This window comes from Homo sapiens, chromosome 11 (assembly GCF_000001405.40).
Source record: "Homo sapiens chromosome 11, GRCh38.p14 Primary Assembly".
In the NCBI taxonomy this organism is placed as follows: Eukaryota; Metazoa; Chordata; class Mammalia; order Primates; family Hominidae; genus Homo; species Homo sapiens.
This window is the reverse complement of record NC_000011.10, coordinates 17,839,230-17,867,034: the sequence shown is the minus strand read 5'-3', so window position 1 is coordinate 17,867,034 and position 27,805 is coordinate 17,839,230. Positions and strand designations below refer to the sequence as shown.

The window sequence follows — 27,805 nt, the reverse complement described above, 5'->3', positions numbered from 1 at the left end:
AGATCTCATCTTGAATTCCCATGTGTTGTAGGAGAGACACAGTGGGAGGTAATGGAATCACGGAGGCAGGTCTTTCCTGTGCTGCTCTTGTGATAGTGAATAAGTCTCACGAGATCTGATGGTTTTAAAAAGGGGAGTTTCTCTGCACAAGCTCTCTCTTTGCCTGCCACCATCAGTGTAAGATGTGACTTGCTTCTCCTTGTCTTCTGCCACGATTGTGAGGCCTCCCCAACCACATGGAACTGTAAGTCCATTAAATCTCTTTCTTTTATAAATTACCCAGTCTTGGGTTGTCTTTATTAACAGTGTTAAAACAGACTAATAAAATGGTGAAACCGCGTCTCTACTAAAAATACAAAAAAATTAGCTGGGCTTAGTGGCACATGCCTGTAATCCCAGTTACTTGGGAGGCTGAGGCACAAGAATTGTTTGAACCAGGGAGGCGGAGGTTGTAGCGAGCCAAGATCCTGCCACTGGACTCCAGCCTGGGTGACAGAGCAAGACTCCCTCTCTCTCAAAAAGGGGGGATATGTTCTGAGAAATGTGTCATTAGATGATTTTGTCATAAGCAATATAAAGTGTACTTAACAAACCTAGATGGTATAGCCTAGTACACACCTAGGCTATATGGTTTAGCCTGTTGCTCCTGGGCTATAAACCTGGACAGCATGTTACTGTACTGAATACTGTAGGCAATTGTAACACAATGGCTGATCAGTTATCTGAAAACTATTTATGGAGTTCTTTGGCTGCCTTCCTGGGTCCTGTTGCTACCAGAGCAGCCGTAAGGCATTACCCAAAATTGCACAGCTGGTCAGTAGCAGAGCTGGGACTAGCACTCAAGTCTAGCTTGTGCTATTCAGAAGGAGATGGTGCCTGATTCTCAAGGGGCTTTCTCAAGTGGTTGCTTGAGCTGTTTGCCAGACAGGGAGACAGCAGCTAAAGGCAGAGCAACAGTTTTTTAGTTCTATTGGTTACCAGTGCTCTGTCCCAGGTCTTGCCTTTCTCAGGCAAAATATGGTACAAAAGATTAAAGATGATACATCTGTATACGGCATTTACTATGAATGGAGCTTTCAGGACTGGAAGTTGTTCTGGGTGAGTCAGTGAGTGAGTGATGAGTGAATATGAAGGCCCAGGACATTATTATATACTACTGTAGCCTTTATAAACACTATACACTTAGGCTGTAAATACTGTGCACTTAGGCTACACTGAATTACACACAAAAAATCTCTTTCTTCAAACGTAAATTAACCATAGCTTACTATAACATGTTGCTTTATGAACTTTAAAAAACTTTTTTACTCTTGTAATAACACAGCTTAAAACACATTGTACACAGTACAAAAATATTTTTTAATATATTTTATAAGCTATTTTCTATTTCTTAAATTATTATTATTATTATTTTGCTTTTTAAACTTTTTTGTTTAAAACACAAACACACACATTAGCTCAGGCCTGTACGGGGTCAGAATTATCAATATCACTGTCTTTCACCTCCACATCTTGTCTCACTGGAAGGTCTTCAGAGGCATGTATGGAGCCATCATCTCCAATGGTAACAATGCCTTCTTCTGTAATATCTCCTGAAGGACCTGCCTTTTAGGAGGTATTTTTACAGTTAACTTAAAAAAAAGATAAGTAGAAGGAATACACTCCAAAATAACAATAAAAAGTATAGTATAGTAAATACACAAACCAGTAACATAGTCATTTATTTATCAAGTATTATTACATACTGTACATAATTGTATGTGGTAGACTTTTATATGACTAGAAGCACAGTAGGTTTGTTTACACCAGCATCATCACAAACATGTGAGTAATGTGTTGTGTTACAACATTATCACAGCTACTATGGCAGTAGGCAATAGGAATTTTTTCAGCTCCCTTATAATCTTATGGGACTACCATTGTATATATGGTCCAGTTGTTGACCGAAACTTGGTGATGTTTTGGTCAACAAAATAGCATGACTATATTTTTATGGTTTTATTTTTGGCATCTAAATCTTCGATCCATATGGAATTTATCCTGGTATAAGTCAGGTGTGCATTCAGCCTCACAATTTTTTAAATGGCTGATCAGTTATCTCAAAACTGTTTATTGAATTCTTTGGCTGCCTTCCTGGGTCCTGTTGCTACGAGAGCAGTCCTAAGGCATTACCCAAAATTGCACAGCTGGTCAGTAGCAGAGCTGGGACTAGCACTCAAGTTTAGCTTGTGCTATTCAGAAGGAGATGGTGCCTGGTTCTCAAGGGGCTTTCTCAAGTGGTTGCCTGAGCTGTTTGCCAGACAGGGAGACAGCAGCTAAAGGCAGAGCAACAGTTTTTTAGCTCTCTTGGTTACCAGTGCTCTGTCCCAGATCTTGCCTTTCTCAGCCCTGGAACTGATATATTCGTTGCCACTACCACACCTGGCCGCTTGGGGCACCATATTTTCCTCTCCAACAGGCCAGAAACATGATAAACCTTTTACATTTAAGAAAGATGTTTCACAATAAATACAGAGTGTTTTTTTTACAGAATCTTGCTTATTGCTCAAGTCACATTTCTGTTAAGTCATACATTTTCAAGGCATAGCTTCAAATCCCAAGATGTAACTTTTTACCTCTCAATCAAGGTGGATTTTTCACTGTTCCTAAAGAAGCGACATTTATATCACTCCACAGGAGTCATTCTATATGACACCACAGGTGAGGGTGCCAGGCTGTTGAGGAGGCTCCCATACTTGCTAAATTACTCTTTCATGCTGGCCATTTTAGGCACAAGGTTGACCACCTGTTTAGCACAATGCTCTGGTCCTTTTTAGGGTTGCTTACAGTAGTAGAAACTGCATTTGTGACCCACTGCACTTGTTTACAGTTACTCAAGAGGCTTGAGGCCTTGCGAAAGTAAATCTAATGTGAACTCAAAGAGGAAAATACAAAAAATTAGAGCAAGTTAGAGACAGCCTTCCACTGTGCACCATAACTAGAGTTATGGTGATAACTCTCTGTGTTATCCTAGGCAGTTACTCTCCTTCTCTGGGCCTCTAGAATCCCCATCTGGGAAATGTGGGAGCTGGACTAGACAATTTCTAAAGTCTTCTGCAACTCTCAAAGTCTGTCTTCATGTCCACAAACTGTGTTTAACATCTTCATAGACTCAGACCATCTATACTTGCCATGCATGCAATAGGTGCTTCATGTGTTTGTTAAATACTCAATGAACATTATATGCAATATTTTCTCATTCTCTCCTTTCAGCTTACTAGTGTCTGATGATGTGCCATGTAGTGTTATGGATGCTGTGGAGGAATACAACATTCATGGAATTCACATTCATGGAACTCACATTTAGTGGGAAAGAGAGCTATGGGAATTAAATTTGGCCATACTTTGGACTTAAATACTGAATGAATGAATGAATGAATGAATGAATACAAAGCAGACCATGATAAGAACTAGGAGAAAGAATGAAGAGGTAAGAATGATTGATTTTGGAAATCCTTATGGAAGAAGTGGCTCCTCAGTGGAGGAAGGGTAAAGAGCAGCATTCTGTGCTGAGGGATAAGCATGAGCAAAGGGAAAGAAGGCTCTAAAGTGTGAATGGTTGAGGGACAAGTGGTCAGCCAGCAAAACAGCTTAGGACCAGGTCTCCAACAGCATGCTGAAAGGCATTGACTTTATTGTTTAGACAGTGTAGAACTATCGTGGGTTATTTAGGAAGATTCTTCAGAAGTTGACAATTATAGCAGATAAAACTTTTTTTTCGTTAAAGGATAATACCTTTTTACAGAGTAAAACTGAAGTGATGTAGTTAAGTACAAAGTGCTGACACTATTCTGAACATTTTGCATATATCATCTCACTTAGTTATCACCATGCAGGGTAGAAAGTAGATAGAAATTGTCCCCGTTTTTCAGATGAGAACTCAAAGAAGTAGAGCCCAGAATTCAAACTAAGGTCTGCTGACTGCAAGGTCTGCACTTGCCGCTTCTTGTGCTGCTCCCTGCAGAGGTTTGACTTAGGTTAATTAGCATATCAAGCAGCATAAACTGAACTTTTAATATGCATGTGGCTTTGGAAGACAGGAAAAAGCAACAGCAGAGCTAGCATTACTGATGGTACTTGTTTGTAGGGGCAGAGACCAGCCCCCATCCTTTTGTCTTATCTACCATAGCATAGCAACTAGGGGACAACCACATGTGACATTGGGCAGCTTTGACAATGGCCAGGCAGTCCAGCCCATGAGCCTGCTCTGTCCTTCCTTAGACAGGCACTAGCTTCCTGAGCCTGGGCAGCACCATCGTATCTGCAAAACTCAGACTCACAGTATTGCCTCTCCGCATCCACAGGCCTCAGCTTATGCTAGTGCCCCTCTGTATCACCTGTCCTATGACTGCTGTCCCTGCTGCCTCTTGCCTCTGGAATCCTCTGTTCCTCCTTGGTGCACCTAAAGCCCTTAAATGTAGAACAGCTATGACTATTCATTCACCGTGCTGTCCCTGGGCAGTGCTTTAGCAACATTCGGTTTGCCTATTTGTCCATTCATGAATTCATTTATTAAGAAGCTGTACCATGCAATAGGAAGAGTACTGGGACAGAATACCTGAGTACTAGACAAGCTGCTGACACCTTGGGCAGGCCACTTTCCTTCTACAGGCCTCCTTTTCTTTATGGATAAAATAGGAGAATTGAGTAAGATAATCTTTGAGGTCTCTACTAGCTCTCTCACTTTGAGGCTGTTTTGTTTAGCTGTAAATTCACACCTTCATCCTAACATGGGGTTAGGGAATGCTTCTTAGAAGAGATGATCCTTGAAGTGGGTCTTAACGGATGAGTATGAAGAAGAGAAAGGTATTCCAGGGAATATGATCAACATGAACAAAAGTATGGAGAAGGCATGGCAAACTGGGGGAAATGAGGGCCTCTGGAGGGGAGCAGAGCAGTGGGAGACAAGGCTACAGTGATGGCTACGTTCAGATCGTAAAAGCTTTAATGTCAGGCTAAGGAACTAGAACTTCATCCTGTGGGGTAAAGGTGCAGGAAAGGTTTTAAAGCAGAGAAATGACTTGATTTGATCTATTTTTAGAAGCTAGTACTGTTCAACAGAGAAACCTGGGAGGAATGGCAGTGGTTTCAATCTTGTGGCTTTGTAAGATATTAATTTGGTAAGTTTTTGCTTTTTAGCGAGACAAGATGCTACCGACCTATTGGATAGGGGATGTCATGATTTACAGTCTGACTGTGGCTCTAGAATCCCCATCAGACTCCTTTATCCAGATTCTGCCCCATTCTAGTTGGCAACTCCAGGCCTAGGCCAAAGCCAGCCCTTTTCTCTTCCCATGACAACCAAGCCAAACAGCTGACTTAGGAAGCTCCACAGTGTAGCCCTTGCGGCACGCATGCATGTGTCAGTAGGTCCTCATGTGTGCTCACTGCTTCATAGTGTATCAGGCTCTTTGACTCACCAACTCTTTTCATTCTTACAGTAACTCTGAAGTTCTCAGAGAAAGTACAATCCCTACTGTACAGTGGGGAAATGGAATCTCAGAAGGATTGCATGATTTGCCCCAAGCAGCATAATGTAGTGTAAGGGGCATGAGGCCTTGGAGTTGTTAAGTCATGGGTTCCATTTCCAGTTCTGCTGCTTAATATCTTGATATCTGACCACGGGCAAGATTGCCACCCTCTCTAAACTGTGGGTTTCTCATCCTTAAAGACTGAGATAATAATAGCTTCTGTATGTGTGTATCATTGGAGCGAATTATGTGGTTTATGGAAAAGCTCTTGGCACAGAGTAGGTGCTCAGAATGTCTGTTTCTGTTTCCTCTGACTCACTTCAGTGCTCTTTCTGGTGTTTCGCCTTGCTTCCCATATGGCCCTCTTTGTCATCTCTCTTGCTCCTCTATTCTTAAGTCAATGCCACAGACATGCATTACTGGAAATGTTCTTCCTGGGTACACAATATGAAGCTAAGCCTTGTGGATGAAGTGAGAGGACATAGGAAATGGCCCTTTCCCTCACTGCTTGCTACCTGATTATTGTGGGTGTTAGGGTGGAGAGGGTTTAGCCTTCACTCTTGAAACAAAGCTGAGGTGATCTGACCATCTCATGATGATCCCTTCTTGCTCCTCAGGGAACTTACTGTATGCCAAGTGCCGGACTCAACTCTTACACTGTCTCACTAAGCTCTTACACACTGTTACATCCACTGTGTGTGTATCTTACATACGCTTCTGTATTCTTAACATATAACCCTGTTCTACAGATGAGGAAAATGAGGCTCAGAAAAGCTAAACCTATTAAGATCTTAAACTCATATTTGATGAAACCAGGATTTGAGCTAGGTTATCTGATTCTGGAGCATGCACTCTTAAATTAGATTACCTTTTGTTTATTACAAAATAGTGTATGTACATAGTTTAAAAATTTTCTAAATACTAAAAGGCTTAGTAATGGCAATTTCTGCCTCACCTTTTCCCACTCTTTTGTCCAATTTCCGGAGCCAACCATTTTGAATTATTTTGGGGTGTCTATCTCTATATTTCTAAACTAAATGTCTATTTAAGATATCAATTTTAAAATAAATTTTATCTGTTGCTTTCTTATAAATAAAAATTTAATTATCTTATACCACCACCTTCATTTCCCTTCCCTCCATCCTCACGTGTAGTTAAGTCATTAGTCTATTATTATGAGTAGTGTAAATACTGTTCTCACTGCTAAGCCAAGTAATATATCATGATATGGTTCCTATGCTATACTTTTCTTTTCCTGGAGTTAAACTTGCCTGTTTATTTTCCCCTTCCTTTAACTGACTTTCTATATACCAATTACTAATTGTTCCCAAATGCCTCCAAAACATCTATAAAACACCTCTTACACGCTTTGCAACATGGTCAAAGACGTCAACTCTTTCAGCAGTCTCCCCACCCCCACTTTCACCACATGCCACTCTGGGGTTCAGCCTTTCTGTTCCACTCTGAAATGGTTACTCTAGGCCTGCACCGTGGTTACGTGATGACTTCTCTATACCATTTCCCTGTGTTAAATCCCTGTTCCCTATCTTCCTTCTTCTTTAGATTAGTCTCATTTTGGTGGGGCACAGGACTCAGTACCTTTCCCGGAAAAGAGGAGTTGAAGATAAATTTTTTGGTTCTTTGAAATTCTGAAAATATACTTACTCTATTTTCACATTTGATTGACACTTTCACTGTTTGTAGAAATCTAGGTTGGCAATTTTTTTCATTCTGACTTTTGCATGCATTTCCCATTGTCCTCTAGCATCTAATGTTACTATTGAGAAGTCTGCTGCTTTTTCTAATTCCTGTTTCTTTGTACGTTGCCATTTTTTTTTCCTTGAAATTCTTAGGAACTTCTCTTTACTTCAGTGTTTTGAAATTTTATGATGACATGCCTTGATATGTATCTTCTTTATTCATTGTTCTGGTATTTATTGAGCCTTCTCAGTCCAGAGGCTTAGGCCTGCCAGTTCTGGGAAATCTTTCTTGAAATTGTTTTACAATTTTTTCCTTATTTTTCTTTGTTCTGTCTTTCAGGGACTTCTATTGAATGTATATTGAATTTCCTGACTCCTAATTTTCTTATCTTTTCTTTCCTCTTGGGCATGTTTTTACTTTTCTTACCACTTTGTGAGAAAATTTTTTGACTTGATCTTCCAACTTTTCTAATGGAACTTTTATTCAGCTATTATTTTTAATTTCTAAGGTTCTTTCTTATTTTTAATCCTTTAAAATAGTTTTCTGTTCTTGTTTATATTGCCATATCATCTATCATTTTTCTATGGATATTAATTATAGAGTTTAAACAAATGTTTTCTTCTCTGCCTTGACTCTGTTTTTTTCCAATTTTTAATTTTCTATTTCTTTGTTTTGGGTTCTGTCTTTCACACTGGAGACTGTGCTTTATGTTTTTTGTTTGCCCTGTAGATGCATTATCCACCTTTTTTCACACTCCATATATCCCTAGGGAGGATGGCCTCTCTATGGCCTGCATCAACTGGCCCTCTGGCTTCTGGTTGGGTTCAGCTAATGAGAGGAACGGCAGATCTCAGGACTGAAAAACAACGAGGTCAGGGTATTTATTCTCCTAGCTTCTCCCTGCTTACCTGCCATGGCTGCATCCCTCTATCAGGGATTCCAGTCTGGTGTCCCTCTCCTTAACTTCACCCTCTCCAATTCACCCTCTCCAAGGGTAACCACTCCTTTCCCTTACTTCTTCAGGCTTAGAGGTGGTAGAGCTCTAGTTTTATCTAGTAGTCCTGGAATATAAACATTGTCCATACCTCTGTAAATGGTTCCTTTATTAAACTCTCACCTGCTGTCCAGTTTGATGTGGTCTTCTGCTGAGATTCTAACTGATACAGAGGTTTTCCTCTCTAAAGATCTGATGATCTTTAGCTGGCTGTTTATATTGAAAAGAGATACTACATGAGACTCTGTGGGCATGGGGAGGATGCACTGGCTGCTGACTTCCTTGTAAGATGTTTGGACTGATGAGTTGGGGAAGCTTTTCCATTGGTAAACTTCCAGAGATCAATATTTATGAACTTTTCCCCTAATCTTCTGTCTTGGGGTGTATATGCTTAGTTGTTGACTTTCTGGAGCAGGATGCCGGAAGGGGGCTGGGGGGAGTCCCATCATCCTTTACATAGACTGTCACTTACTCACTTAACCCATTTGTTTCATTCTGATCCTCACTCCCACCCTCTGATGACTCTTCTTCCAGGTCCAGGGCTGCCCTGGGTCAGTTTCGCCAGATAATAAATGTGTGGTGTTCGTTAGGTATAGCAAGAGATAGGTTGCCTAGTTATGTGTGTTGGGGAGAATCTGGGCATCTAACTACCCCCCATAAATATACTTTCAGGCAACGCCTCTGATTTCAGCCCTATCCTTACCCGACTTTCAAAGACACTTGGTGCTTCTCAGTCCTGAGGCTTTTCATTGTCTTCCAAGACAAAATTTGTTTCCTTCTCACTGTTCCCTGCAGCAGGCACAGGGTTTCAGCCTCCTCCACTCTGCATAATCAGTTACCTCCTTCATCTGTGGTATTCATCTGAAATGTGTTGAACTATCTTGTTTCTTCTTCTATTCCTCTTTTCTTGGTGGATTCATACTTTCTTTGTTCCTTTACAGTTGGCTTAAGAGGGTTTTGGAAGGAAATAGAGATAAAGGTGTGGGCTCAATCTATCCCGATTAATGGAAGTTCCTACTGCTCTTTGTAGGCCACAGCTGACAAGGATAGAGAAAGTGGTCCCACAGTGGCCCTGAGAATGTGAGGCAGGCTGGAAGTTGTGTGACTGCACAGTATGACAGAAGGGAAGCCACTCAAAGCTGAAGCCTTGGCACCGTGGCCTTTGTATTTGTGAGTTTTGTGAGTCTGTTCATTTTATTCGGGCAGCACCTCTGAGATGAATACTTCTTGTGAAGGAAATTTACTAAGATCAGCTGGGAACTTACTTGAAGAAGTTTTCACCAAATGGCATTACATAGCAAGAAGGGGGAAAAATATGGGGAGCTCTTAGACAGATGCTTTTTAAAATTTTAATTTTGCCAAATGGCGAGGGTAGCCAAAGAAGACGTATATGCTTCTAGTCTGGGAGGGACTGCTTTTCAGAGCGGGGAGAAGCAAAATCTTAGCTGATCTAATGTAAGAAGAACCCTGGGGTCATAGAACCACAGACTTTCATGGTGGAGGGGACTTTAGAAACAGCCTAATCTTTACAGAAGAGGAAATTAAGGCCTAAGTTTGGAAATGATTTGCCCTAAGTCACACAGCAAGTTATGGGCTATGTCCGGAACGGTCACCCACAAGTCCTAACTTCAGCTGGCACATTACACCCCTCTGGAGATAGAACGTCGGCAACTTTAGAGGTGAGCTCCAAAGGTCCCACCTTTGTCACTGTGACCTAGCAGTCCATGGCCTCAGGAGCCCTTGACTTGGCTTGTTTCTGGGTAGTTTCTGCTACTCACCCATACTGGAGATATTATATTCTCCATTTCCCTAGGCTGCATAGGTTTGTACCAAACCAGTGCTATGCCAAATTGTAGACCTGTTTAGACATGTTTCCTTTCGTTTCATTATTTTTGGGGGCTCTGCCAAGGCTCACCATATGAACTCAAATGTGATTTAAGAAACAAAAAAAGATAATGACTTCAATAGCTTGGCTTTTTAGGAAAGTTAAGGGGGAAGAAGAGTCCAGGAAGCCAACACACTGTGTGACCAACTGTCAAATATTTATTGAACCATAATAACAGTAATAGTTGACATTATTGATCTATGTGTGGTTTTACACATTTTACATACATTATTAATTGATTCTTTACATCAACAGTAAGGTAGGTACTATTATTATACCTGTTTCACAGATGGGGAAACTATGGCAGAGAGGGTAACTTGCTCAAGGAGGAGAACCTTGTCCTGGGTACTCTGCAGCTTAAGGACTTGGGTATCTAAAGACACAGGTTCATAATTAGCAATATTCTCTCAAATTATTCAGTAACAGATTGTTAAGAGCTGCAAAGGGGTCTCTTTTGGCTGCCAAAAGGCTCCAGCTGCAGCCTGTCTCCATGAAGGCATAGAAGGGGACCATTTCACTTTTTCTGAAAACTGGGAATTTATTACACAAAGGATGATGAATTCAGGATCTAAAGGGTGGAATATGAAAAGAAGTCAACAAAGTAATGTGTAATTGGGAATCAATATAAGAGAGGGCCTAGTGGTAGAAATGGTAAGTCTTGGGTATTGACTGAGTCAGCTTGCACTAGGGAGGCCAGAGCACAGGGGAGCCAGCCATGGGCAGCAGAGATATTGACAGAGGGTAAAGGATGAGCTTGTTAGTTATATTGCCTTTAAATTGTCAGTGGGATAGGCAGTGGGGTAGTCTGAAGACATTCCTATAAAAGAGGCCTAGAGAGGAAATTTGTGGGTTAGGGGTGGGGATGTGGTTTTCAGTATCTTGCATTACAGGACCACATCTGTGCCCACACTGCAGAATAACCTTTGTCCATTCTAGAGAGAGCCTGCAAAGTACAGATGACCATGGTATACTTGGGAATGTTGGGTTTATAGAATTAAAGTGGGTTGGTGCTGGAAAGGATCTCAGAAGCCAACTGTTCCCAATCTTCATCTGTAAGTGAAATATTCAAGTCTTAGAAGGGGCAGTGATATGTTTCAGTTGTGAGCCAGCCAGAGGACCTGCCCAGGCAGACTAAGAAAGCAGATCTCCCACCACTCAGCCCAGGCCCCTTTGCTTCAAATCGTGTCTCAGAGGGAGAACAGTAGTTCCCCTTATCTGCAGTTGCACTTTCTACAGTTTCTGTTACCTGCAGTCAGCCACAGTCCGAAAATACTCAATGGAAAATTCCAGAAATAATGCAAAAGTTTCACATTTTGAGTAGCGTGATGAAATCTCATGCCATGTCACTCCATCCCACCCAGAACATGAATCATCTCTTTGTCCAGTGTGTCCATGATGTATATACTATCCGCCTGTTACTGTATAGGAAAAAATAGCAAATATATATAGTTTGGTACTATCTGAGATTTCAGGCATCCCTTGGGGGTCTTGGAACATGTCCCCTGAAGATAAGGGGGCACTACTGTATTTAAAACTGTGACAGTTTCCAAATCCAGTACTGACTGTCCCCTAGTGAAGATGTCTTTTTAATCTGGCTCCTTAAACTGTCCAGGTACCTTTGTTAATCTTCAATTTTAAAATGAAATTTAAATTACCTTAAGTAATTTACTCGCCCTCCAAGGGCTCCAATAGCACATCTATAAAATAAAGATAATACTCTGGCTCTCCTACTCCCCCGCTTTACTTTATATAGGCCTTCTGAGGTTGTAACAAGTACAAGTATGGTTGGAAAAGAAAGATAATAATTTTGTATAAAAAGTAAGAATATTATAGTTTTAATAGTTTCATTATAATTTTCAAATGAAGTTGACGTGATTTTGAGAGGGACACTAAGTCCATGAAAGAAACTCAGCTCTGCTCCTTCCTAGCAATGCAACGTTGAGTGAATTATAACCTCCTTGAACCTCAGTTTCCCTATGTAGATAAAGAATGAAAATGCTCAGAGCAACTATGACAGTTAGACGGGATAATATATATAAAGGACTGAGCTTAGTGCCTGATGCTTGACAGAAGCAGTAAATGCAGATTTCTATAGCTCCACATCCTTGCCAGAACTTAGCATGATCCAGTTATCAATTTTTACCTGTCAAAGGTGAGAAACAAAATGTTATTCTACTAAAATAAGAATTTAGTTTTAGTTTCAAAGACAGAGTGTGTCAGTCCAGGTTCAACTAGAGAAACAGACCCAGAAGGAGATGCAAATTAAGATATTTTGGTGAGGAAATGGCTTGTACAACTGTGGAGACTGGCTAGCAAGCTTGAAATCCACAGGGCAAACTGTCAGGAAGGACAGGCAGTGGCAGCAGAAATAGGAAGTACGGAAGAGATTTGAAAGCCATTGCTAGTCAGTAATTAAGTGGCCTAATATGAAAAGGATTGAGAAAGGAAGGGGAAGAATGGGCAGGATCAAGGATGTGGTACCCTTTTCTCCTTGGTAGACTGGGTAGATATGTCATCATTGAGAAGAGAGATGCCTGGAGAGAGGAAAGAATAGGCTTTGGGCAAGGTAATGAATTTATTTTTTAGCATAGCTGAGTGTAAGATGCCTGTGGAACACTAGGCATCTTACCCAAACAGGACTACTTGGTAGAAGGTTGGAATGAAAACTTTCAGCTCTGTAGAGAAGTCGGGGAGTTGGTTCTGTAGAGAAAGCTTAATGAAGCAGAGCTACTTAATTACAGTTTTTTTCTTTATGTATATGTACACAGTGTTTGTGCTAAGTGGCCCTGCTATAGGGTATGGTGTTGTGATAGCTTTAATAATGTTATGTAAGTGTCACTATTCTGTGATTATTTTTGCTGCTGCAATAATTTGGCCCAGGGCAAAGACTGCTTTCCTGGTCCTTTTTTTTTTTTTTTTTTTTTGAGACGGTGTCTCGCTCTGTCCCCCAGGCTGGAGTGCAGTGGTGTGATCTTGGCTCACTGCAACCTCTGCCTCCCGATTTCAAGCGGTTCCCCTGCCTCAGCTTCAGCCTCCCGAGTAGCTGGGACTACAGGTGTGCGCCACTGTGCCTGGCTAAATTGTGTGTGTGTATATATGTTTTTTTTGTTTTTGTTTTAGTAGGGACAGGTTTTGCCATGTTGGCCAGGCTTCTCAAACTCCTGACCTCAGGTGATCCACCCGCCTCGGCCTCACAAAGTGCTGGAATTACAGGCGTGAGCCACCGTGCCCAGCCTCCTGGTCCCTTTTTATAGGGACGAACTCACCTTAGTAGACTTTCCAGATTCCAAGAAGCTATTGCAAAGGTTGAGTCCTCAATAGGAACTCCATACGTGGATACATGGGAAGGCTCTGTCTCCCTGAGGAAAAACCAGATGGAGTTGTCCATTTCTGCAGAGTGACCTGAAAGCACATAGCACCACGTATGATTAATGACTTTGTGTAGCAGCTCACTGCCCCAGTAAACAAGGCCAGCCCAGTCACATTGCCTGGGAAGAAGCACTGTGTGCTCTTCCTCAACCCTAGACCTCGTCTTAACAGGTCTACAGATAACAGATGGGGGTGTGGTGCCTTGGGAAATACAGGAGCAAGGGGAAGGAGAAGAAATGAACATTCACTTAACATTTCTCATGTGCCAAGCAGTGTGTTGGGCACGTTCATGATGATAATGATGAAAACAGTGACAGCTAACACTTACTGATTGTTTGCCTTGGCGCCAAGCACTGTTCATGTATGGTATTTTTTTTTCTATTTAGTCATCACAACCACCATATGAAGTGGGTACTATTGTTTGCTATGTTTTACAAGTGAGGAAATCAGGGCAGAGATTAAATGAGTTGCCTAGGGTCACACAATTATGTAGTAGTATATATCTAAGGTGGGACTTGAAAAATGTTCCTGAGCCCACAGTTCCAGACTCCGTGCTACTACTCTCTGATACTGTCGCAGCCACTTTCCCCTCCCTGGTCCTGTCATGCAGAGGGGCAAGACTACAGAGTTCTTTCTCTGATAGTTCTCATGGATTTCTGTCTTCACTTTATTGGGTGAGTGGCTTATGGGAAGCACTGAGCGAGAATTAGGAGACCTGGGTTCTTATCCTACCCACGGTCTGACCTTGGACCTCAGATCTAACCCTCACATTCTTCATCTGTAAAATGGAGATACTAACATCTACCAGGGTATTATGAGGATCAGATGAATAAATTGCTAGGAAAGTGTTTATGTAAATGCTGAGAGTTACCCTGTTGCATCTGTACCTACTTCTTTGCTTTTCAGAATATCTTCTTTCCTGTTACCTTCCCTGACCCTGATTCCTTTTGTCCTTTATTATGATTTATGACATTTTTATCACTTAAAAGTCTGTGATAATCATGCTTAAGGCAGGAGGCCACTGAAATTCTTACATAAATAATTCCACCTACCTGAGCCAAATGGAGGGGGTGAAGTGGGGTGGTGTGTAGCAGATTTAGCAGCTGCTGAAGCTATAACCAAGAGAAGTCTCCTTGTCAGTCACAGGAATGAATCATTCAAATGGCTGCCTTGCTGGGTCCTTCCCAGAGCCAGAAGGTAAATTAGGGAGCAATGTTGCTTTCATTACTCATTAAGCTTAAAATGAAGCTCTGCCTCTTTGAAATGTAGCAAGGATTTCTGTTTGAAAGAGCATGGGTTCGGGAGTCAGACTGACCTGAGTTCATTCAATTCCCAGTATTGCCACTTAGTAGCTGAATGACCTTGGGCAAGTCATCTTACCTAACTGGGCCTCAGTTTCCTCCTCTGTACATGCATCCCAAGGTTATTGTGCAGCACAGATGAGATCATGGGTATAAAGGGCCCGGCATGGTACCACACACTCATTAGACTCTCAGCAGTTTTTACTTTGCTGTGTCTCCAAGCTGTGGGAATGAACACCTTAGGGAGGTAGATTTGATGGGGAGTGAAACAACCTGGTTTCCAGAGTGCAAAAGCAGAGAACTCAGTAATAGACATTTGAATCACAGGTCTATTTTTAGTTCAATCCAGCCTAAGATTTCAAAATGTGGGTTCTTCCTTGTGTCCCTTCATCCTTTCTGTGTAAGCAGTGGGGGTGGGGTTGTCCAGCTTCTCTGAAGGCACGTACTCCTGCCATTTCAGTCATATCTTTTTCCTCATTAGTGTCCAGCACAGTCACCTTGGATACATCAGCTTAAAAATCTGCAATAATGCATGAATGCAAGTGTTTTACTCTAGTCTTCAGCAAGATTCTGTCACTGCCACGCCAGCCTTTAACTCTCCAACTTTTAAAACTTCGGAGAAATTTCATCCATAACCCTCATCCATGTTTCTAGTATGGCTGACTTCATGACTTTGGGGAGCACAGCAGTAAATACTTTTCTACCAGGTCCTGTCTGTCCCTTGCCTTCTCAAAATGCACATATCCCCACACAGGGCCCCACAGTCACAGAGCAGCCTCATGTGCGGGGGCTCTATAGAGCATCCTTGTACTCATGTGTCTTACAGAAGAGGGATGCAAACTACTAGATACACAGGAGACACATAATAATTAATGTTTCTTCATTTCTTCCTTGCAACAGCTCTCTGGTAAGTAGGAATGTGGTTTCAAGGTTAAGGGCACTGCATTTCAAATCAAGGGGACCAAGGTTTGAATCCTAACTCTGTAACTTAACAGTTATATGACCTGGTACAAATTATTGAACTCCTCTGAGCATAGGTTTCCTCTTCTGTCAGCTGGAGATAATAGCACCCGTCTCACAGGACTGTAAGGAGGAGTGAAAGAATACATGCAAAGCCCTCAGCACAGGGCCAGCACACGGTACAGATATATACATAGTAATTGTGACAGTTTCACAGCAGAGGAAATACTGCCCTAGGGAGGTTAGCTAATTTATCTAAGGTAGGTATCATCCCTATTTTATGTAAAAGGACATCGAGGCTGAGTCAAGCATGTTGTCCAATGTTATATAGTGAATAAGCAGCAGAATGTGAACTACAACCCAGGTCTCCTGACACCTCAGCCAGGTCTCCTAACATTTCACCAGAAACCTCTGGAAAACTGAAATAAATGTCCCCCAGCCCATTTACAATTGCCCCCCTGGTGGTGGAATCCAAGCCCAGCTTCCCTTTTGCTGAATCCTGCTTTCTAGAAATAGGCTGCCAGTGAAAGATGTGTGCAAGTGTATATAGAAATGCATACATATATGTGATAGAGTGGGAAAATATCCCAGGGAGCCATGATTACCAGAGTACTCCAAGAATGCAGTATTTTGGTTAATGGATTTTTCTCAGAGTATTAACCTCTTGGTTTCAGGCCTTATTGAAAGTCATTATGAAATGCATTGCAAACATTCACTCTCTGATGCTAGAAGGAGCTGTCTAGTGAGCGTAATTAAATTCTCTTTAAGTGACAGAGGATCTTGGCAGGATGTCCATTTATCACCAGAATGATCAGTTGTGCTGTTCAGGACTCTAATAACAACCCATATGTCTGTCTGGGTCTTTTACACTCATTATAACATTTAATCATTGCAACAGCCCTGTATGTGTACGTGTGTGTTGGGAGTAAAGGGCAGGATGGGAAGATGATTATCCCCATGTTGTTACTGAGGAGGCTAGGATTTGGAGAGCATGAATGTCCTGTTAGGCATCTGCTATGGTTTGAATATGCTCCTCAAAAATTCCTGTGTTAGAAACTTGGTCCCCAGTGTAACAGTGCTGGGAGTGGGGCCTTTGGAAGCTGATTGGGTCATGGGGGATCAACCCTTATGAATGGATTTATGTCATTATTGTGGGAGTAGGTTAGTTATTGCTGGAGTGGCTTTGTTAAAAATATAAGCTCTCTCTCGCATGTGTTCTCTTCTCCTTCCACCTGTCCACCCTAGCATGACCCTCACTAGATACCAGCACCATGCTCTTGGACTTTCCAGCCTCCAGAACTGTGAGCCAAATCAACTTCTTTATAAATTATCCAGCCTGTGGTATTCGGTTATAGCAACAGAAAAAAAGACCAGGAGAAGATCATGTATCTTGAAAGTAACAGAGATAGAACTGAAATGACATTTGCTGAGACATAATATAGTAAAGCAGAAAAAAACATAGATTTTTGAGTAAGACATACTTGAGTTTAAATCCTGATTTTGCCACTTACTGATGGTATTGACCGTGAATAAATTAATCTCTCAGGTCCTAAGATTCCTCATCTGTAAAATGGGTCAAATAATATTTCCCTTGCTGGGGGTAATTTTAAGGATTCTAAATAATGTATATAAAGCAACCAGCATTGTGCCTGGTCAGAGTAGGTCCTCAGCACATGGAAGCTATTATTATTCTGTCTCCTGGTCCTGTGCTCTTTCCAGTCTACCAAGATGTCTACTACTGTAGATATAGAAGGTACAAGGGATTGGCCTTACCTGTCTTCAGCCCATCAAATGCTAGAAGTCTTTTCATTAGCCTCAAGGGTGGGGTTGGGGGGGTTGTTTTATCCCTTTCTAATAACAGAAGCTGGAGGCAGCTTTTATTGTATAGGTAAAACTTAAATAATTTTATATCAATACCAGAGCTGCTGCAAAGCAATAAAGTAAGTATCACGTATGACTCTTGTTGATAGTAAGTGCCCAGAGTCAGGAAATGCTTTTTGGATTTTAAAAATATGCATAGAATTTGACTAGGAGAACAAGAGATACTTCATGTAGGATCAACGGTGTGGAGGTAAGACAATGTAAGATTTGCTCAGCTTGGCTAGAACAAAAATTGTCATTGGTAGGGGAGCATACATGATAAGGATGGAAAAATAGACTCGTATATAGAGCTTCACATGTGCATGTAAACACACACATGTTACTCACATCTCCTATGCATGTACATTGCCAACCTAAAATACTTAGAATTGATTGGAAGCATTGGGTGAATAGATATTATTTCATCTCTCTATGATTTGTAGAAAAGCAATGTGGTCAGAAGAAAGAGAGCTAGAGTGGGGGTTGGGAGACCCAGATGTTGCTCTTGGTACCGCCCCATTCGACTGTATAATCTGGACAAGACATGGAACCTCTTTGGGCCTTATCTCCTCATTTATAAAAACATCTGTGCCACTTTTGGAAAATCCTTTGGAGCTATTATCAAGAGCCTTGAAGATGTCCATTCACTTTCATTTATTAATTCATATCCTAGCATTCTTCTCTAAGGAAAGATCTTAAATATGGAAAAAAACTTTATGGTTAAAGATGTTCATCATAGTCTTTTTATAATTTAGTAAAATTAGGAGCTACCTAATTTTACTAACATTTGGTAATGGATAAAAGATGACCTATCTGCTTCACTAATTTGTAGTGTTTATTAAGTAAGAATTGCAGCATTGGTCATGTAAAAATGAAAACAAAAAGGCACATATGAAAAATATACTGGGAAATATACTTTCCAGTGTAGGAAGCATTGTTGATGTTATCCACACCCTTCATGATCCAGACCCAGATGTTCACACCAGCTGTCTTTGTGCCACCACTATTTACTGTATATGGTGACCTCACTATGGTGACCTTAGGACATTTTCCTAACAAATACCTTTCATCCCTGTATGCTTTTGTATGTCTGGTTCATTCCTCCTGAAATTCCCTTTACTCCCTTGTCTCGCCATGAATATCTGCTCTTCTTCTAGTCCAGCTCTGCAAATTTCCCTGACTTCCTAGGTGGAATCAGTTGCTCCTTCATCCTTCTTTCTATAAAATTTGTAACTTGGCTCTAACACATATGTCCTCTGTTACAGTCTTCTTGTTTGTTTCCATCTCTGCACATAGACTGGGCCTTCCTTAGGGTCAGAATTGTGTTATCAACAAATCCCTAGGATTCAGCAAAGGGCCTGGCATTTAATAATCACTCAATATATGATTGAATTTTTACTTTTTTATTTTGATTTTTTGCTTTTCCATGTTTTCTGCATATTTTATAATGACTATGCATTGTGCTTATAATGGAAGAAAAATAGTAGTAATTCATTTACTCATTTACTTTAACAAGGTGACTGACCTAGTTCAGAGGTTCTCAAACTTGGCAGTTCATCAGAATCACCTGGAGAGCTTATTAAATTGCAGATACCCTGGCCCCTAGACAGACTTCTTGAGTCCCAGTCTCCCGGATAAGGACCTGGAATCAGTATTATTAACAGGCTACCAGTTATTGGGATGCTCAGCCATGTCTGAGAACCTTTGACCTCAGTACTGCTAAAGCCCTTTCAGCTTAAAATCTTCCTAATTCTTTGATTGGCCTTCTGTCCCTTGCTCCCCCTGCTATGAGAGGCTTTAGCTGGAGGGCATGTGGAGCAACAGGCCATACAATGGAGAATACCTGTACTAGCTTCATTATTGGGCTCCTCTTCTGTGCCAAAGACTGCTTTGTAAATAGCGTTTTAAAATATCTATACAATCATACTTTAAGGTCAGTTTTATTTTCTCCATTTTACAGATGAGAAAACTGAGGCAAAGAGAAGTTGTGACTTTCCCAAGGTCAAATAAGAAAGCATTGGATGCTGTGTTTCAATTCAGTTCTGTCAGACTTCAAAACTGGATCTAGAATTTCCCTCACTGCCCCTCCCTGTCCCCCTTCCCCCCAAATAAAGGAACCCCAGCAGGGTCACGTACAGCCCTGCTGAGTGCAGACACGTTCTGCCGTCTGCTCAGGCATGTGGAATTAGCATCCTTGGGCAGCAATGCACCACATAAGCAGAGGCTTGCAGCTCACCAAATGTGCTCTGGCGCCCACCCACCTGCTTACAGGGTGCAGTGAAGCAGTGGAATTCAATTTGCGGCAGTGACCTAAGAAGAGCTATTTTTAGTAAGAAAGTAGGTCAGGGGCTGCAGCGGTGCTGCCTGATAAAGGAACAGCCTCCCCTGTCACCAGGAGGCTTGCTCACTTCTCGCACAGCCAGTGTGGAGGTGAGGTGCAGATCTGACATCCTCACATGACTGCAGTTGTAATCATTACTGTGGAGCCACTAGGGGGTAATACACACACACATCTAAGACACAGAGGCTCTTGCCTGGGTTTGCTTAAGGTCTTGGGCCCTAGTCTTCCTCAGGAGATTAGAATCCCTTCAGGAAACACCTCTAACATACTAGGAGGCTCATCTATTATATACCTGCTACATGTCAGCCACCATTCTGGGTTCAATATGCATTCTCTCATTTAATCTTTGCAGTATCTCTGCAAGGTAAGTATTATTATCCCAGTTTTGCTGATGTGGAAATGGAGTTGCAGAGAAATTAAGAGATATACTCAAGATCACAGTGTTCATGTGTCATGGAGCCATTTTTGAATCCTGTGAGAGACTTCAGTGCTGATGATCGGATGACCAGACCATCAAACCATGCTGGAGGTGATTTTTTAATTACCATTCTGCCTCTGCCCCGTTTTGTTCAATACTTCAGAGAAAAAAAAATACAAAGATGGTGTTCTCCATCTGAACTTATCTGAATCAGGACAGGAAAGACCCAGGACACAGACCCTTTCCCCAGAGAGGAGAGAATACATCTCTACATACTGCTGCCCAATCATCAAGCCCAGTAGTTGCCAAAAACAAACCAACCACCTGATTTCCCTGGGCCTGGAGTGTTTCAGAATCCTCTGCCCCACTTGTTCTGCCGTGTATTAACTGCAGAGCTGTGGCAAATTGCAAGGCACTCATTGGCGATACACAGGTGGACATGAGCTTGTTAACAGAATGCAGTAATTGACATACCGTGATTCATTATGCACAGCACGAAGGACTCTAGTAGAAGCCCACTTTATGGCCAAGAGCTGCTGGCACCACCAACCTTGAGAATTTGTTCCTGGCTCTGTTCTGTCTCCCCAGCTAGAGAGCACCATCCCTTTAGGGGCCAGAAGCAGTCTGTGGCTTCAGTCTTATCTGCCCCTACCTCCAGGCAAGGAGTAAGGATACTTCCCTGGTCCCAGGCTGCATGACGTTGGAGGGAGATTATTTGTTCATTCATTCACTCAACAAGCATTTAAAAAAATCTGGCCAGTAATGCAGTGGAGAACAAGACAGATAGTTCCTGCCCTTCCAGAACTTAATCACCTGGTGACTATCAGAACTGCAAATTTCTAAGCACCCAATTCCCAGTTCTATAGACCTGGAAGTGGGCCCTCTCTGGACCTTAGTTTCTTTATCATCAAATGAGTAGAAAAGAGAGAATTGTATTGGTCAATCTCTTTTAGCTCTAAGATTTCAGACTCTGTGGTTATGGATTATAAACATGAGTCACAGTATCAGTCTTAGTCATTTGTATCCAATGCCAAAGGAAAAAAAATGAAAATCTCAAATTTCAGAATCTGGATGGGAAACATGGACACAAGCTAATTCAATTTCTTCACTTACAAATGGGAAAAATGAGGCTAAAAGAAGGGTGTGTCTTGCCTAGTATATCAGTGAACAGAGCCAGGATGGAGAGGCCAGTCAGCTGAGCCCAAGTCTTGAGACACCCCATTCCTACTGAGGCTGCCTCTTCACTCAGCACTGCTGCTGTGCCCCTGTTTGGAACCCTTTCTGCACTTGGCTTTTCTAACAGTGAGCTCTACTGAGTCTTCTACTTACGCCTCTAACCACTGCTTCTGTGTTTCCTTATCAGCCCCAGGGCCGATGGCCTGAGAGTAGAAGAAGGAGTAGGCTTTGATAGCTGAGCCCCCAAAGGTAAATCAAATTTAACTTTGTTATGCTAAGGCTATAAAAAAAAATGGACATGAAGAAGTTGAAGCAGAGCATGTAGAGTTTGCTGACAGAGTTCTCGAACAAGCAGTTACAGAGGCAAACCACAGTGAAACAACAGAAGAAGGGAACCTGGTGGAGATGGCTGCTGAGAAGTTGCTCCATGAACTCAGAGGACCTATAGAAGGGCCTACCTACACTCATTGTCTTAGAGCAGCCTTGCTAACCCACGGGCAGCGAGCTGCATGTGGCCCAGGACAGCTTTGAATGCAGCCCAACACAAATTTGTAAACTTTCTTAAAACAGGGGTTTTTTGTTCTGTTTTTTTTGTTTGTTTGTTTTGTTTTGTTTTTTTTTAAGCTCATTAGCTGTTGTTAGTGTACTTTTTGTGTGGCCCAATTCTTCTTCCAGTGTGGCCCAGGGACGCCAAAAGATTGGACACCTCTGGCGTAGAGCCTCTCTATACCCCTGGCCCATGTCTGTCTTCTACATGTAGCCAATGAAAGGAATCTAAAGCTGGAAGGGCAGGGGACCTTTCTGATGCTCTTGTGAGGCAAAGGGATTGAGATCACTGCAGAGAAGCTGGCAACAGGAGGCCCATCATTTTTTCAGTGGGCAGGACATCTCCATTCTGGGTGGAGGAAGACGCAAGGCTTTGGCAAATACTAAAATGCTTGTTTGTCTATTGCTCTTTCTTTATGTCCATCACAGTCTGGGAACCAGTACCTTGAAGCACTATCCTTGATTAATTTATAATTTTCTGCCCTATACTGACTGCCTAGGAAAGAGGTGGTCAGAGGTACGAGAGGGTGAAAATACTGTTCTTAATTATGAAAACCTATATCTGTTCTGTGTATCCATGGATAATTTTAGTCTTCTAAATTGATTTGTTATTTTCCAAGCTTTATTTTTATAAAAAGTCATTTTTCAGTAAACATATAACATTGTCAAGAACTACCTAATCCATGTACATAAAATGTCATGTGAATGTATAAATATGTATATAATGTATAAAAATAAAATTATTCTAATTTTTAAAAAATGACTAAAGGTCATTTGACTGTGAATTGGATACCTGAGTCTGAAGTATTGATTCCTGTGTGTCCTTGAGCTAGTCACTTGCCCTTTCTGCCCCTCTGTTCTCATATCTATAAAGTGAAAGGTCTGGATCAGTGGTTTTAGTCACCTGGACTATTCTATCAAATCACTTGGGATAATTATTAAACATATACATTCCTGGGCCCACTTCCAGATCAATAGATTTGGGAATTGGGTGCTTAGAAATTTTTAGTTCTGATAGTCCTCCAGGTAATTAATTCCAGGTGATGTAGCCAGGTTTTGAGTAGTTGTCTTCCCTGAACCCCTCTGGTTCTGATGTTTTAGGATCCTTTGCCTTCTTTCTCTCTTGCTCAGTTTCCCATTGTTCTCTTTTCCTTTTTTCCCTAGAGTGCTCCTCTCACTAGACTGTGAACCTCTGAGGAGGAGGGGCTGTATCTTACCCATCTCTTTATCCCCGTCCTCCAGTGCAATGTCTGACACACTGGTAGTGCTCAGTGAACAGTGGGTGCAATGAAGGGAAGGAGGGAATGAATGGGCTCTCATGGCTTTATACCACCTATACACATCCAAGTAATGTCCTTAATGTTTCCTGCATCCTCAGTCATTATAGATTTCTTCAGAACAGTAAGTGGAAAGACCACAGACTTTGGAATCTAAGAAAACTGGATTTGAATCTCAACTCTTTCTCTTACTGTGTAGTGATTTCTCCTAAGTCATTTAATCTCTTTAAACTACAGTTTCCTTGATTGTAAAATAAGGAGAATGGCACCTGTTGCTTGAGATTGTTGTTAGGATTGACTTACTACATGAAAATATGGATGCAGAGTGCTTGACATATAGTAGGAACTCAAGTATCTCAGCTTCTTTTCTTCCTTTACATGCCCAGTGATGAGTGACAGTAAAAGGAGGGAGGAAGACTCAGAAGAATAGATCAACCCCAAGCCAGGCCGCAGAGGATGACAATATAGTTCATTGTCATCTCCTGGCTTCCTGTGACACTGAGGTTCTCACTGAGGCCCAGGCATCTTGGTGGATCCCCACTTGCTCAACCCTGGGCATATCAGAATTCAGACTTAGAATCTCCTGACTTTAAGTGTGGCCTGTTCTCTCTGTTTCTGTGAGCTACAGGAGATAGACAAGTAACAAAAGAAATTCAAGGAACTATTATAGGTTGGGGATCCTTATGCAGGCTTGATGTCTGGGCTTGCTGTGAGAAACTCAAGTTCATTTCATATGGTTGGTTCTCAGGGCTAAAAATCTGTGCGTTGGTTTCGTTAGCATATCAGCTCCTCTCTTCACACACTCTGTGTTGGAACTGCCACAGCATGCTGCTTTTCATAAAAGTCTCTCTTTCAAACCAAGTCCAGCTGTTTCAGTCCTAGAAGGCAGCCAGATTAGTTCTCTTCTGGGCAAAATGGTAAGTGCTTATCACTCCCCACAATGCCTCCAGCACCACAGAAATAACAGCCACCCTTTACTGAGTGCCTACTGTGCTTCAGTCCTTTGACATCACTATGAGTGGTTATTATTAGCTCATTTTATAGGGCAGTAGGTTATGATTAAGACTGTAGACTTTCAAGTTTGACCAAGGTTCAAATCCTGGCCCCACCATATTTTAGCAAATCCTCTCTGAGTTTCTGTTTCTTATTAGCAAAAAAGGGCTAGTAATGTATACCTCATAGTACTGAAAGGATTAACTGAATACCGGATGCATGGTCTTGGTACCACGCCTAATGCATGGTAAGTAAATCCTCAATAAATGTAACTGTGGTAATGATGGCAATGCTGTGGTGTCTTCATCTATAGAAGGTGTTTCACTGTAGTGGATACCAGAGAGATAAGGAGAGGTGGCAAAAATATCAACAGTTTCTGTTAGTCTAATCCAGACTCAAGAGAACCTCAGAAATACTATTAGAAAGGGACCTGTTATGATTGCTTGGAATAAACTCAGTGAATAGCTGCGGTGTATTATTCATTCAGCAGATTTTTATTGACTATCTACTATGTTTCAGGCCTTATGCTAAAAGCTGGAGATACTATGATGATAAAACAGACATGATCCCTCACCCTCAAGGAGCTTAAGTCTTATGGAAGGACTCAGACACTGTTAAAAAAAAAAAATTGCACCAGTCATGCAAAATTACAGACTAGGATAAATGCTACGAAAGAAAGGGACAAGGTACTATGAGAATGTATGATAGGGGTCCTCACTTACTTCACATGATCAAGGATAGCTTTGCTGAGGAATTGACATCTGAGCTGAGATCTGAAGGATCACTAGGAGTTATAATTAGATGAAAGGAGTGGGTAGGGTGGAGAGAAAGCTTTCTAGGCATATGGACAAATATGGCCCCCATGGTGAGAGGCAGCTTAGCGCTTTCAAAGAAGTGAGAAGGTCAATATGATTTGAGTACAGAGAAAAGGCTGGAGGGGGAGATTAGGTTCTTGCAGGCCATGTGAAGAGTTTCTTTTCTTTTTATTCTAAGCTCATAGTAATCATAGAAGGATTTGAAGCAGAGGTGGTTATGTGTATGTTACTCATGGGGAGGGCATTATGCTCAATTTGACATTTACAAGAGATCTTTCCAACAATGGCCTTGAGAATTGATGGAGGGTGCAAAAGTGGATGTGGCAAAACCAGTTAAGGAGCTTTTGCAATGGTCCCAGTAAGAAATCATGCTGGATAGAGTGAGAGAAGTAACAGTGGAGATAAGAAGGACAACATGGTTTGAGATATTTAGCAGGTAAAATTAGCAGGACTTGATGATGGATTGAATGTAGCTGTGAGGAAAAGAAAGATGTGAAGCATAAGCCCCAGGTTTCTGGGTGCATAAGTGGGAATGGCCCTGCCATTCGCTAAGCTAAAAATAAACAGTAGAAGGTGAACAGGTTTGGAGAGGAAGATCTGATCTGAATTTGAACACACTGCACTAGAGGTGCCTTTTAGACATCTGGGTATGGATATTCCATGCCCATGGCCACCAAGGGTAGGCCACAATGGCCTTAGGATGCCCCGAGAAATGTGACCCAGATCCAGCCTCTCTGGGGGTCAGCCTTGTTTGGTAGCTGGCCTGAGGACTCATGGTTTGCTTCCCACCCTTGTGGTTCTATTTCCTTACCAGAGTATCCTGAAAAGGGAGAATTCAGCCTAAGAAGGAACAGGAACAGTCTGGGGAGAGACTCTGCTGCTTTAGGGGAAACAATTTAGATATTGATGCATGTTGTTTGAGATGTTTTTCCAAATCTGTGATTGAGATATTTGTGTTTGACATGTGTGCTTTTATTTATTAAGATATTTGCTATTAATATATATCTACTATATGGTAGACACAATGTCAAGTCAGAAAGGACCCGTGGTACTTCAGAAGCGACAGCCCCAGAACCCATCTGGCTTTGCTGTTCTTGTGATTTTAGAGAATACTAAATCTCTAGGATGCTGAGCTGCTGACTTTTCATCAAGGGAACCTGTCCTTGAGTTCAGGGGGTTGGCTTGTCAGGGGCTTCTTCTGCAGCTGCAACTCTTCAATCTGTCTTTGGGGGCCTCTCTTCTGCAGTCTCCCTAGACAGTAACTACATCAGTTCTCCACTTTGAACAGGGCTCAGCTGGGCACTCTGAGCCACCCCACCTTACCACTGCTATGTGTTCTGGTTTGTTGCCTGAAAGCAACTCTTTGTGTCCAGGTTAGCAGGTGAGGGTGAGAGAAGTGTCAGAGGAGGTTTCGTGTCCTTCTGTAGAACAGCAGAGGAGAGCTGGACTGGCGGGCAGGAAGGGGGTGGTGGGCAGAGGTGTGACTCATCCAGCCCTGGCACCATGTGATAGGATCTGTGAATACCCATGTGAAATAGATACATGCTTTAAGAACATTTGCCTTGTGAAAATCTAAACTCACAAGCCACATGAATTTGGAACCGCGATTACCATCACAAAAGGGAGCTGGTATCCTTTAAAATATCCTGTAGTGTATCTAAAATACAGTGCAGTGAGTGATGAAATATTTATGCCAGTTTAGGCACTCAGGGGAAGCTGGCATTCTCTATGTCAGTGGAACAAAGAACTTCTTATAACTGGAGCAGATGGTGAGCCCCTGTCAGGGCAGATGTTCCTGCAGAGGCCAGGTGACCACATGTCAGGTGGGACAGAGGGACTGCTTCCCATGGTGGACTGAGAATCGCAGCTTTAAGATTCTCTGATTCTTGGCTTTGCTTTCTGTCTTGAAAAGTAAGTCTGCCTTAGGCAAATCTGCCAAGGACAGATGTGTCCTTGAAGTCAGAAGGACCTAGGCTAAATCTCAGCTCCACCTCTTCTAGCTATGTAAATTAGGCAGGTGGCTCTCTGAACCTCCCTCTTCTAGTCTATAAAATTAGGTTTATAATACCTTGCAGAGTTTTGTGTGTGAGGGTCAAATGAGTTAAGTCCAGGAGCCAACACCTCAGGATGTGAGGTGGGGAGAAGGCTTCGGAGCCTCTGATCAGCTGGCAGCCCTGTGGCATGTGCGCGTGGATGGTGTGCACATGGCTTGAGTTTGCATGCTCTGCACAGGGAGAACATTCATTGCTCCACAGAACACAAATTCAGGGCATGTGTCAGCTCACTGGCAGCCTGGGGTAGGCTGGGACACGCTGTCCTTTTTCTGCCTGAGGACTGACACCAGCTCAGCAAACAGCCCACCCATCTTAAGTTTCCCCAAAGAACTCAGTCTTCGTTACAGAGAAATCCTTTCAGGTGCTGAGAGTGGCATGTTTCTTGCAATCTGACCCCTGGAAGAATTCTGACTGTGTCCCTTTCCCATGCCAACTCTTTACTAAAGCCGATTTTATGAGGAATTATTTTTCTAATGTGTTGGATAAAATCCTAAAGTGTGTCTCTGATGGTGTCTTAGGAGGTTCACAATGTTTTTATTTTCATGGGGAGCATTAAGAGGATACAGACTAGGTTTTTGTTGGGGCAAGCATAGTCATTGTAAACT

The 27,805-nt window shown here is 42.0% G+C and overlaps 1 protein-coding gene and 2 long non-coding RNA genes across 5 annotated transcripts in view; 2 read left to right on the top strand and 1 right to left on the bottom strand.

Moving 5' to 3' along the window:
* SERGEF (secretion regulating guanine nucleotide exchange factor) overlaps positions 1–27,805 on the top strand; it is a 225,000-nt gene that overhangs the window by 146,013 nt on the left and 51,182 nt on the right. The gene's annotated exons all lie outside the window — the stretch shown is intronic.
* Positions 154–19,732, top strand: LOC124902642 (uncharacterized). Its single transcript, XR_007062610.1, has 2 exons — positions 154–244; positions 3,253–19,732. It is a non-coding gene; the product is annotated as an uncharacterized LOC124902642 (long non-coding RNA).
* LOC107984317 (uncharacterized) lies at positions 10,224–19,660 on the bottom strand. The gene is made up of 2 exons (XR_001748144.2): positions 13,357–19,660; positions 10,224–12,233 (listed from the first exon to the last, which is right to left on the bottom strand). It is a non-coding gene; the product is annotated as an uncharacterized LOC107984317 (long non-coding RNA).